Below are 12,628 nucleotides of genomic sequence, written 5' to 3' on the forward strand. Positions count from 1 at the left end.
TTATTTTTTATTGTATATATTTAAGGTGTACAACACGATATTTTGATATACATGTTGATATGATTCGCCTCTTTGTCCCCACCCAAATCTAATTTGAATTGTACTCCCATAATTCCCATGTGTTGTGGGAGGGACCCGGTGGGAGATAATTGAATCATGGGGGCAGTTTCCCACATACTGTTCTTGTGGTAGTGAGTAAGTCTCATGAGATCTGATGGTTTTATTAGGGGTTTCCGCTTTTGTGCCTTCCTCATTCTCTCTTCGCCTGCTGCCATCCATGTAACACAGGACTTGCTCCTCCTTGCCTTCTGCCAGAATTGTGAGGCTTCCCCAGCCACTTGGAACTGTAAGTCCAATTAAAACTCTTTCTTCTGTAAATTGCCCAGTTTCAGGTATGTCTCTGTGAGCATTATCTATTTCTTGTTGACATTTTCTCCAGAGTTTCAGTCTTTTGCGGTACCAACCAAAAGCCTTTGGGGTTTACTGAATCCCTTCTTCTTGGAAGACCATGAACTTTATTTTTTGTCACTCTAGCTCTGTGGTTTCTGAAAACGTCACTCAGTTTCTCAGCCTCTCTACCATTGCTTTTACATTTAGAATTGGCACTTAACTCTAGGGAAGCCTCAAATGCTAAGCTAACCTCTTGTATTTCTCCATTTTATTCTTACCGTTCCCTAAAATTTTTATAATCATAGCAGTTTTACTATGCCTCCAAACAGATTTTTAAAATATTTTGTTTAGATTGTTCCACCGTTTTTAGAGAAAGATTTGGACTCAAATAACCTAGTCTGCCATTGCCAGAAGTAGGGGCACCACTTAGTTTTTTAAGATGCTCTTCTGAGCTTGACTTACTGTGCAAAGTAATACCATAGCCGCAGAATTTAAAATAAGACTGTTCTGCTTACTATGGAAGAAAGGAGGGAAGTGCTTACCAACTAGAAGTTCGGTGACCACCACCATATCCTAGGTCTTTAGCCCCTGAAAATCATGGCCTTTTTTTTTTAATGCACAAGTATAGTGCAAGATCTCCTCTGAGAACTGGCTTATGGTTAGCAAGAGATGAGTTGGTCTTTTGGTACTTAGGTGGGAAAGAGCTCATGATACTCAGGGGAAGTGAGGGAAACCTAATAGTCCTGCATTAGGGAATTTCAAAAAGTTTTTGTAAGAGATACTGATAACGTGCATTTTTGAGATATCTATCATTTTGTTGAGATTTTAACTTTTTTGGCAACATTTTACATTTTGTACATCTTTCTTTTTTATATCATGTTACATTACAGAGAGAGATGCAGGACTTACTTCTTCCTCACTTGGTACTGGCTAGTACTGTTTCAGCTGGGGAAGGAGACTTGGAAAATAGTATCTTTTCCAATATTTAGTAGAAAGAAGGGAAGGCATTTATCTCTTTGCTCTAGCCTGCTTTCAAAAAGGACTAGAGAATTTCTGAAAAAGTTCTCTGACTTCTTGGAAACTCCCTATTCCAACAATGGCTTTGGCTAAAATTTATGCTTTTCTTGGGGCCTGTTGATTATTCTCTAAATAGTGTGCTAATGCATGGAAAACTTCCAAAGTGGCTGTCATCTTGAGTGACACAGTTATAGCCTGTGTGCAAACCCTTGATAAGAAAATGGAAAAGAAAAAAAAATCATCAAGATAAAAAAATTGCCTGAAGATAATGAAGGTGAGCAATGAATAGTGAAGGGCACAGAACTGCTTTTTTTTCCAGGGATGGGAAAAAGAGGCAGAGAGGGAAAAGTTCCATGTTGATCCCAGGGGACAATTCCTTACCTTCCTTGTTCGCCTGATAGTCAAGTGAGAAATGGCTTGCATGACAAGATACTGCATGGAAAAAGCCTGGGCTTTAGAGGATAAGGAAGGAAGACCATGTACTGGTTCTACCACTTAATCAGTACATCATCTGTGAATATTATTCACATCTTCGAGGCTCGTCTGTAAGATGGGGATAATTCTTCCTTCACTGGCTTGTTACGAGTATGAATGTAGAAACCACTGTGAAAGTGTAATATTAGCAGCATCAGATAGAAAAAAGAAAAGCCTGGTTTGGTTACTTTATTGTTATGGTTAAATGTGGATTTTGGCAGCAGACAAACTTGAGTTTGAATCCCACTTTCTACTTCCTCATCTTTCAGAATTAAATGAAGTGATGCACGTAAAATGCTTAGTGTAGTTTCTGTCATACGGCGAATAAGGGTTTATGTGCCCAGTAAGGGTTATCTGCTATTATTATTGTTCTGGTGATGATGATGATGATGATGATCATGATCATGATGATGCAGGGGATCTGCTTATTTGTTTTTGCCCATTTGGTGATCAGAACATTGTTTATTATAGTCAGATTTGGCTTTCCAAGTCCAAACATATGTCTTTAATTAAATAGCATTTTAATGTAAGATCTAAATAGATTGACAAAAGCATTTCGGGAGAATTTCTGAATTCATGTTCTAGAATGAGAATTAGATACAGTTCATTCTACCTTAACCTCAGCATAAATATATGCAGCCAGTTAAAAATGACCTAGAAAGTGTTCTGAGGAAAACATCTACTGGTTCCTCACTAAGGAACAGATGAACATCCTTATCAGAGAAGTTACGGGGATATGTTTGTTTTGGCTTGGCATGTATTTCTCTTACTCCATTCTAGAGAGTCCCATCTGTGCCATCTGATGCTCTTGTTTTACAGTATTTGAGCTGAGATCCTACCTTCCTGTATAACAAGAACCTTAACATCACAGTCAGCTCTTGATTATCTGAGCCAGACAGACTGGTTTGAAGAGCAAGATATAGCAGTGACCTGGTAAGTGCTTACCTTCCTAGAAGTACTAGGGAGCTAAGTGGATTGCTATTTACCCTTCCCGCCTTGGGACTAGGAGAAGGGCGACAAAATCTGAAGCTGAGCTTAAGAGATGATAGAGAAGCTGAGAATGAGAAAATGCTCTACTTTAAAGGAGGTTGTAGGCCTATATGCAGAGTTAAGTTGGCAACAGAAAAAACATTGAATTTTTAAATTATTTTTTCTACTTTCCTTGACATTATATTGCCTTTCTTTTTTCCAGCTTCTTGATTTAAATGCCTAATCTATTAGAGATAGTATATATATCGGGAACGAAAGAGATGAAAGGGAATGACTTTTTCTCTGAATAATGCTTTGGCTGGACCCTACAGGGTTGAATATGTAATTATTTTCTTTTTTTTAATTACATTCCAGATATTTTATACATAAGTTAGGATTCTTTCTGTAGCAAATAACAGAAAACTGACAATTGCCTTGAGGAGTTGTTTTTCCTAAGAAGTTTGAGGTAGGAGGGTTTCAGGGCTGGTTTATTCTGATCATTCTGTTCTGCCACATTTAGTATATGGGGATTGTTCTTAAGTAGGTTTCCTTCATGTTGGTAAGGTGCAGCTTTGAGTGTCACATGCCCATGACAATTTTCAGACGTAGAAAGGGGACAGTTTCTTTTTAGCATTGAAGTAAACCTTTTGTGAGAAGACATTCTTCTGACTTCCCTTCAAAGTTCATTTGTCAGGATGTTTCATGTGACCATTTCTGATCACTAGTGATAGTAGTGAGACCGCTATGATTAGATTCAGACCAAACAAGATTCTACCCCCTAGAAACAGGAGTGGAACCTACCTCACCTGAAACAGATGACTTCTTGGAGAAGAGGGAATATTTTAAAAAATCAGGTAAAATTTGAAATAAGAAAGGAAGAAAGAAAAAATGGTTATTGAAAATGCAATCAGCATTAGCTGCTACTTCCTGCAATTGTAGTTTTAGTTACCTCTTAAACTTAGTAGTTATGTAGGGTCTTAGAGAAAGTTTTAAGATTTAAAAATGGTCAAGGATTTTGGTTTGTTTCTACTTAATTTTGGATTGTGGTTAATAATGTGGTTTGATGCTTTTACTTTTTAGAATTTTTGAGTTTATTTTTGTTTAAGGTATAGAGAATGTTTGCATTTTATGACCACATGAGAAGAAAAGAGTAGTTTTTGTTCTTGGGTCAATATTGTTAACTACATCATTCAGATTTTATATATTTCTATCTTTTATTAACTTGGTATTTTTCTAAATGTTCTATTTTGGAATAATTTTAGATTTACAGAAAAGTTTGCAAAAATGGTACAGTTTCCCCACACTTACCTAGTACAGATAGTTCCCCCTTTGTCTACCTTTCCTGAATGTTAATCAGCATAACTGCAGTATATATGAAAAAAACTAAGAACTTAACATGGGTACAATTCTGTTATCTAAATCGCAGAGTTTGTTCAGATTTTACTAATTTTCCTACTAATGTTTAACTTGATCTTTAAAGACTGAGAAAGCTGTATTAAAATACCTCATTGCTATTGGAATTTGGCCTCCTTTTACTTTGCATTTCCGATAATTTTTTGGCTTCGTATGTTTTAATTCTGTATAATTTACCACATATAGCTTTAAGATAATTTTACGTTAATGTGGATCTTACCCTTCATCAGTATAATGTGATCTTTTAAATCCCATTTAATGACCTTTTTTTGAACTCAGCATTTTCTGAGGAAGACAAACCCTGACTTTTTGTTTTTGTTTTTAAATTTTCCTAGTATTCCTTTCCTATTCTTTTATTTTCAGCTTTATGCGTAATTTTGTTTGAATGTGTATAAGTCAAGGTCCTGGCAGGAAACAGATGCCATGCTCAAATTCGGTAACTTGATGAGAATTTAATAAAGGGACTGTTTAGAGAGGTGTGAGCAAGGGTGTGGAGAAACCACAGGGACAGCGTAGCACCCTTGGACTTAACCATTGGGCAACATTACCACCCCTTCTTTGCCTGACAGAGCCTGAAGAGAAGGTGCTGCCTAATGGCAGCTATGGCCCTTGGAGGCAGGAGGCAGCCCACTGTGGTGATTCTGCACAAGGGAGCCAGGGAGATAATGCCCCAACCTCACTCTCCTCCCTCCTTCCCTCCCTCCCTCTCTCAGACCTCAGGCTGGTGCTTCCTATGACCAAACCCAGCTGGAAGCTGGAGGCAAGGCCATGTGTGAATACATTGGTATTGGTTGGCCTCCTGGTTCAGAAAGCAGTGGAGTGTAACAGAGTAGATCTAGAAAGCAAATGAAAGCGATCTAGTAAAAGTTGTATTGTTTTTCTATAGAGCATTTATGGCTAGATTTAGTTCATATTAAATCTAATCTGAGAATTCTTTTTATGCATTAGGTTAACTTTTCATATTAACATTTACTGTTGTAATAGATGTGTTTAGTTTTTATCTGTCATCTAATTTCTATTTTCTGCTTTTTTTTTAATTCTTTCTTGCTAGTTTCTAGTATTCTATTGTTGCATGTTTGTTTGCTTTTTTATCTTTTCTGCTTCATTAATTTGGATGGTATTCAGCTCTACTACTTGGTAAGTCTGCATATATATACTTAACATAGTTAAACATAATAGCCATGTTCCATGTTCCTTATAATGATGTTTCAGTCAGTGGTAGGCTGCATATACAGTGGTGGTTCCATAAGATTACAATGGAACTGAAAAATTCCTATCACCTAGTGACACTATAGCTGTTGTAACACAGTAGCTCAATTACTTTATTTAAAAAATAAATGTAGTGTAGCCTAAGTATACAGTGTTAATAAAGTCTACAGTAGTGTACAGTAATGTCCTAGGCCTTCACATTCACTCACCACTCACTGATTCATTCAGAGCAGCTCCCTGTCCTGCAAGCCCTATTCATGGTAAGTGCCCTATACAGGTGGTACCATTTAAAAAAATCTTTTATACTGTATTTTTACTGTACCTTTCCTATGTTTAAATACACAAATGCTTACTATTGTATTCCAATTGCCTATAGTATTCAGTATAGTAACATGCTGTACAGGTTTGTAGCCTGGGAGCACTAGGCTACCATATAGCCTAGGTGCGAAGTAGGCTATATCATCTAGGTTTAGGGAAAGTACACTCTGTGATGCTCACACAGTGATGACATCCCCTAACAACACATTTCTCAGAACATATCCCTGTTAAGTGACACATGACTGTGCTGTTAGTCTTAGATTATCAACTTTATAGATTAAACAATATCTGCAGACAGCCCCATCTCCCATGAAAGATAAAAAAAAATTAGTACACATACTTCCTCACGCATCCCCACTTGTAAGATTTTATTGGTATAATCTGGGATTTTTGTTTCAGCTTATAATACATACCTTTTTCTAACGTGCTTTTTATGTCAAGAATTATACATTTCACCTTGTATTTTGTAAGTATGTTAGCTTTAGTTACAACACTTAAAGGCTTACAAGGATTCATTGCTCTGGGTAACTGTGCTGACTTGAGGCCAGATTCTGTCCTGTGCTATGTTCTTCTATTTTGGAGTGAGCTAGTCATATTTGCATAAAATCTTAGAGATTCCTGGCTTTTGGTTTGAAAAGGCTTGTTATTTTTTCCTCCCACCAGCTAGGCCTCTTGCCTTATCCTTAGGGGCATCTTCTCTTGTTTCCCGCCCATGCTGTGCTCAGGAAGTTATTTGCGCTGGGGAAAGGTAGTTTTCTGTGGGACATTCCACAGTTTTCCTCTGCCCCATTTTAGCCCTGGTCCCTCTTACTCCCATTTATGTGGTAGGGTGGGTATCAGTAAGATTTTAAATAATTTTTTCCTTTTAGTATTCATGGCTCTGTTTTGCATTCTCTTTGTCAGCTCCTAGAGTCAAATAATTTTAATTTCAGTTACAGGATAATAGTTCTTTGTGGTGTGAGACTGAGATCCTTACAGTTTCAATGTTGATGGTATATTTGCTATTTACTTCACTTACGTAGGTTTGTTCACTTGCGTAGGTTTGTTCACGTATGTAGGTTTTGGATAACAAAGTTTTATAAACTTGCCCATATACTGTCGTCTTTTCCTGAATTTTTTTTAATGGTTATTTTCCCCAGCTTTATTCAGGTCCAACTGACAAATAAAAATTATATATTTGAGGTGTACAATGTGATGTTCTGATACACATATACAACATATACTGGTGAAATGATTGCCACAATCAAACTAATTAATGTATCTATCACCTTGGTAATCGTTTATGCTTTTTTTTTATAAAACACATTCACATTTAAATCTTGAACTCATCTGATACATATTTTTCTGCATGGTATAAACCTGACTTCATTTTGGCCCAGTGTTGGTGTTTTGTACCAATATAGTTTATTGAATAATCAGTTCGCTCACTCACTTGAAAAACGACCTCTGCTGTGAGCTAAATTCCCATATGCACTTGAGTTCGTTTTTGGCTTTCCATTTGATCTCACTGATCTCACTGATTTCTGTCATTGCTCTACCTCCTCCCCACCACTCCAAACCCATTCACTGTGTTTGAGGTGTGACTGCCTGAGCCATTAACTGCTCTTGAATCCAGCATTGCCTGTCCTCTTTCTTCCCCTTAAAGTATGTTTTCTGTCCTCCTTCCCTGTCTGGCCCATTGGTGGCTCTCATTCAGAGATACTCCGAGTTTTCAGAGGCTCCTGTCAACCTCTCACTCAGTTTGGATTTCTAAGGGACCAGGGAAGGCTTTCAGGACCTGAAACGTCTGTTCCCATCCACAGTCCTGGCACAGAGGATGAAAGAGATTTGCAAGGTGTGAGCTTTCAACCATCTCCCACCCACAGATCCCTGTACTCCTCCCTACATGGTAAAATAATTACTTCTCTCTCAGAGCTCCAGCATGACCTCAGGGAGGCCCAGACTCTCAGACTGCCTCATCTCATTACCAGCAAGGTCTTGTCTAAGAACTGCTCCGTAGAGCTATTTAAAATTTGTTAGTGGGCTTATCTTCCCCAATCTCATGCATATATGGATGACTCCACAAGCTTCCCAGAAAAGTGCACAACTGAAGACACATTTTGCTATGTGTGATTGTACAGGGCTGCACAAGAACTCTCAATATTTGAGGAATTTCAACTTTTCAAGAATTTTAGATCTATTGGAACAGAGGCATTGGCAGAAATATCATTTTTTCTGTTTCATTTAAAAAAGACAATTTTAGGGAAAATTGATATTTATTATATAGTTACATTTTTAGCACTCTATAAATCTGAAGCCATGTTGATAGCTGCAGAACATAAAAATGTACTATGGATAACTTGGTTTGCTCATAAAATGGTCATGTTTGGCATATTAAATGTCAAAGCGTGGTTTATGAAGACAGCAATTATACATTTACTAATTGAATTGACATTCAAACACATTCCAGTTTATAAAAGAAAGAATGACAACACAGTAGTGTTTAAGGAACAGAGCACCTCACAGTACTTCTAAAAACAGCACATTTCTTTGTTGCTTTGTTTTGTGTTTGTATTTCAATAGCTTTTGGGGTACAAGTGGGTTTTTTTACATGGTTGAATTATATAGTGGTGAATTCTGAGGTTTTAGTGCACCCATCACCTGAGTAGTGTACATTGTACCTGATGCGTACTTTTTTTTGTCACTAGCCACCCTCCCACTCTTCCCCTTCTGAGTCTCTAAAGTCCATTATGTCACTTCTTATGCCTTTGTGTACTCATAGCTTAGCTCCCACTTATAAGTGAAAACACATGGTTTTTGGTTTTCCACTCCTGTATTACTTCACATAGAATAATGGCCTCCAGCTCCATCCTAGTTGCTGTAAAAGACATTATTTTATTTTATTTATTTATTTATTTATTTTTGAGACAGAGTCTGGCTCTGTCATCAGGCTGGAGTGCAGTGGCACGATCTTGGCTCTCTGCAACCTTCGCCTCCCGGTTTCAAGTGATTCTCCTGCCTCAGCCTCCTGAGTAGCTGGGACTAAAGGCACACGCCACCACGCCCAGCTAATTTTTGTATTTGCAGTAGAAACAGGGTTTCACTGTGTTAGCCAGGGTGGTCTTGATTTCTTGACCTTGTGATCTGCCCGCCTTGACCTCCCAAAGTGCTGGGATTACAGGCAAAAGCCACTGTGCCCAGCCTATTTTATTCTTTTTAATGGCTGGGTAGCATTCCATAGTGTAAATATACCACATTTTCTTTATTCATTAGTCATTGGGCACTTAGGTTGGTCCACATCTTTGCCATTGTGAATTGTGCTGCTATAAACAAATGTGTACGAGTGTGTTTTTCATAATAATGACTTCTTTTCCTTTGGGTAGATACCTAGTAGTGGGATTGCTGGATTGAATGGTAGATCTTCTTTTAGCTCTTTAAGGAATCTCCATACTGTTTTCGATAGAGGTTGTATTAATTTACATCCCCACCAGCAGTGTATAAGTGTTCCCTTTTCCCCACATCAATGCCAACATCTATTGTTTTTTGACTTTTTAATAATGGCCATTCTTGCAGGAGTAACGTGGTATCTCACTATAGTTTTAATTTGCCTTTTCCTGATGATTAGGGAGGGTGAGCATTTTTTCATGTTTTTTGGCCATTTGTATATCTTCTTTTGAGAAATGGCTATTCATGTCCTTTGTCTACTTTTTAATGGAATTATGTGTTTTTTTTTCTTTGTGATTTGAGTTCCTTGTAGATTCTGGATATTAGTCCTTTGTTGGATGCATAGTTTGCAAATATTTTCTCCCAGTCTGTGGTTTGTCTGTTTACTCTGTTGATTATTTCTTTTGCTGTGCAGAAGCCTTTTAGTTTAATTAAGTCCCATTTATTTATTTATTTTTGTTTTTGTTTCGTTTACTTTTGGGGTCATAGTCATGAATTCTTTGCCTAGGCCGATGTCTAAAAGAGTTTTTCCAATGTTGTCTTGTAGAATTTTTATGATTTCAGGTCTTATATTTACGTCTTTGATCCATCTTGTGTTGATTTTTGTATATGGTGAGAGATAGGGATCCAGTTTCATTCTTCTACCTGTGGCTTGCCAGCTTTCCCAGTATCATTTATTAAACAGGGTATCCATCCCCCAATTTATAATTTTTAATGCTCTGTCAAAGATCAGTTGGCTGTATGTATTTGGCTTTATTTCTCAGTTCTATATTCTGTTCCATTGGTCTATGTGCCTACTTTTATGCCAGTACTCTGTTGTTTTTGTAACTATAGCCTTTTAGTATAATTTGAAGTCCAGTAATGTGATGCCTCCAGGTTTGTTCTTTTTGCTTAGGATTGCTTTGGCTATTTGGGCTCTTTTTGGTTCTACATGAATTTTAGAATTATTTTTTCTAATTCTGTGAAAAACGATGTTGGTATTTTGATGGGAATTGCATTGAATCTATAGATTGCTTTGGGCAGTAGAGTCATTTTCACAATATTGATTCTTCCAATCCATGAGCATGAGATGTGTTTCCACTTGTTTGTGTCATCTATGATTTCTTTGAGCAGTGTTCTGCAGTTCTCATAGAGATCTTTCACCTCTTTGGTTAAGTATATTCCTAGGTATTTTATTTTTCTTGCAGCTGTTGTAAAAGGGATTGAGTTCTTGATTTGAGTCTCGGCTTGGTTGTTATTGGTATATAGCAGTGCTACTGTTTTGAGTACATTGATTTTGTAACCTGAGACTTTCCTGAATTCATTTATCAAATCTGAGAGTCCTTTGGAGGAGTCTTTAGGATTTTTTAGGTATACAGTTGTATAATCTGCAAACAGCAATAGTTTGATTTCCTCTTTTTCAATTCAGATGCCCTTTACTTCTTTCTCTTGCCTAATTGCTCTGGCTAGGACTTTCAGAACTCTGTTGAATAAGAGTAGTGAAAGTGGACACCCTTGTCTTGTTCCTGTTCTCAGGAGGAATGCTTTCAACTTTAACTGATTTAGTATGATGTTGGCTGTGGGTTTGTCATATATGGCTTTTTAAATTTCGAGGTAAATCCTTCCTATGCATAGTTTGTTGAGAGTTTTTATCGTAAAAATGTGCTGGATTTTGCTGAATGCTTTTTCTGTATCTATTGAGATGATCATATAGTTTTTGTTTTTAATTCTGTTTGTGAGATGTATCACATTTATTGACTTGTGTATGTTAAACCATCTCTGCATCCCTGGGATAAAATGCATTTGATCATGATGAATTATCTTTTTGATGTGTTGTTGGATTCAGTTGGCTAATATTTTGTTGAGGATTTTTGCATTTATCAGGGAAATTGGTTTGTAGTTTTCTTCTTTTGTTGTGTCCTTTCCTAATTTTGGTATCAGGGTGATACTAGCTTCATAGAATGATTTAGGGAGAATTATTTCTTGCTCAATAGAAATTTCTGGAATAGTTTCAGTAGAATTGGTACTACTTCTTCTTTGAATGTCTGGTAGAATTCACCTGTGAATCCAACTGTCCTAGGCTTTTTTTTGTTGGCAATTTTAAAATTACTGATTCAATCTCGCTGCTTGTAATTGGTCTATTCAAGGTTTCTGTTTCTTCCAGATTTAATCTAGGAGGGTTGTATGTTCCCAGGAATTTGTCCATTTCCTCTAGGTTTTTTAGTTTGTGCACATAAAGATGTTCATAGTAGTCTCGAACGATCTTTTGTATCTCTGTGGTATCAGTTGCAATGTCTCCAGTTTCATTTCTAATTGAGCTTATTTGGATCTTCTGTCTTCTTTTCTTGGTCAACCTAGCTAGTGGTCTATTGATTTTATTTATTTTTTCAAAGAACCAGCTTTTTGTTTCATTAATCTTTTGAATTTTTTTTGTTTAAATTTTGTTTAGTTCTGCTCTAATTTTTATTTCTTTTCTTCTTCTAGCTTCAGGTTTAGTTTGTTCTTGTTTCTCCAGTTCCTTGAGGTGTTACAACAGGTTGTCAATTTGTACTCTTTCAGACTTTTTGATATAGGCATTAAGCACTATAAGCTTTCTTCTTAGCACTGCTTTTGCTGTATCTCAGAGGTTTTAATAACATCTCATTATTATCATTCATTTAAAATTTTTTTAAAATTTTCATCTTGATTTTATTGTTAATCTAGATATCATTCAGGAGCAGATTATTTAATTTTCATGTATTTATATAGTTTTAAGGGTTCCTTTTGAAGTTGGTTTCCAGTTTTATTCCACTGTGATCTGAAAAGATACTGGAGATAATTCTGATTTTTAAAAAATTTATTGAGACTTGTTTTATGGCCTATCATATGTTCTGTCTTGGAGAACGTTTCATGTGCTGATCAGAAAAATATATATTCTACAGATCTTAGGTAGAGTGTTCTGTAAATATTCATTAAGCCCATTTGTTCTAATGTGTCATTTCAGTCCATTGTTTTCTGTTGACTTTCTGTCTCAAAGATCTGTTTAGTGCTGTCACTGGTGTATTGAGGTCTCCCATATTATTGTTTTGCTGTTTATCTCATTTCTTAGGTCTAGTAGTAATTGTTTTATCAATATACGAGCTCCAGTGTTTGGTGCATATACATTTAGGATTGTAATATCTTTTTGTTAAATTGATCCCTTTATCATTATATAGTGACCATCTTTGTCTTTTTTTTCACCGTTGTTGTTTTGAAGTCTGTTTTGTCTGATAGAAGAATAGCTACTCCTGCTTGTTTTTGGTTTCCATTTATGTGGAATACTTTTTTCCACCCTTTTACCTTGAGTTGATATGAATCCTTCTGTGTTAGGTGAATCTCTTGAAGATAGCAGATATTTGGATTGCAATTTTTTATTCACTCTGCCATTCTGTATCTTTTAAGTGGAGTGTTTAGGCCA

At 36.5% G+C, this 12,628-nt stretch overlaps 1 long non-coding RNA gene across 2 annotated transcripts in view; it reads left to right on the forward strand.

Moving 5' to 3' along the window:
* Positions 1-249: 249 nt before the first annotated feature.
* The window catches only part of LINC02752 (long intergenic non-protein coding RNA 2752), a 68,227-nt gene continuing 55,848 nt past the window's right edge, over positions 250-12,628 (forward strand). The window contains exons 1-3 of one of the 2 annotated variants that reach the window (NR_187402.1): positions 250-346; positions 2,701-2,814; positions 5,389-5,400. This is a non-coding gene — a long non-coding RNA (long intergenic non-protein coding RNA 2752). The remainder of the gene's footprint in view (positions 347-2,700; positions 2,815-5,388; positions 5,401-12,628) is intronic. The other variant, NR_187401.1, reaches the window with a different exon arrangement.

Source organism: Homo sapiens, chromosome 11, assembly GCF_000001405.40.
Source record: "Homo sapiens chromosome 11, GRCh38.p14 Primary Assembly".
NCBI classification, from domain to species: domain Eukaryota; kingdom Metazoa; phylum Chordata; class Mammalia; order Primates; family Hominidae; genus Homo; species Homo sapiens.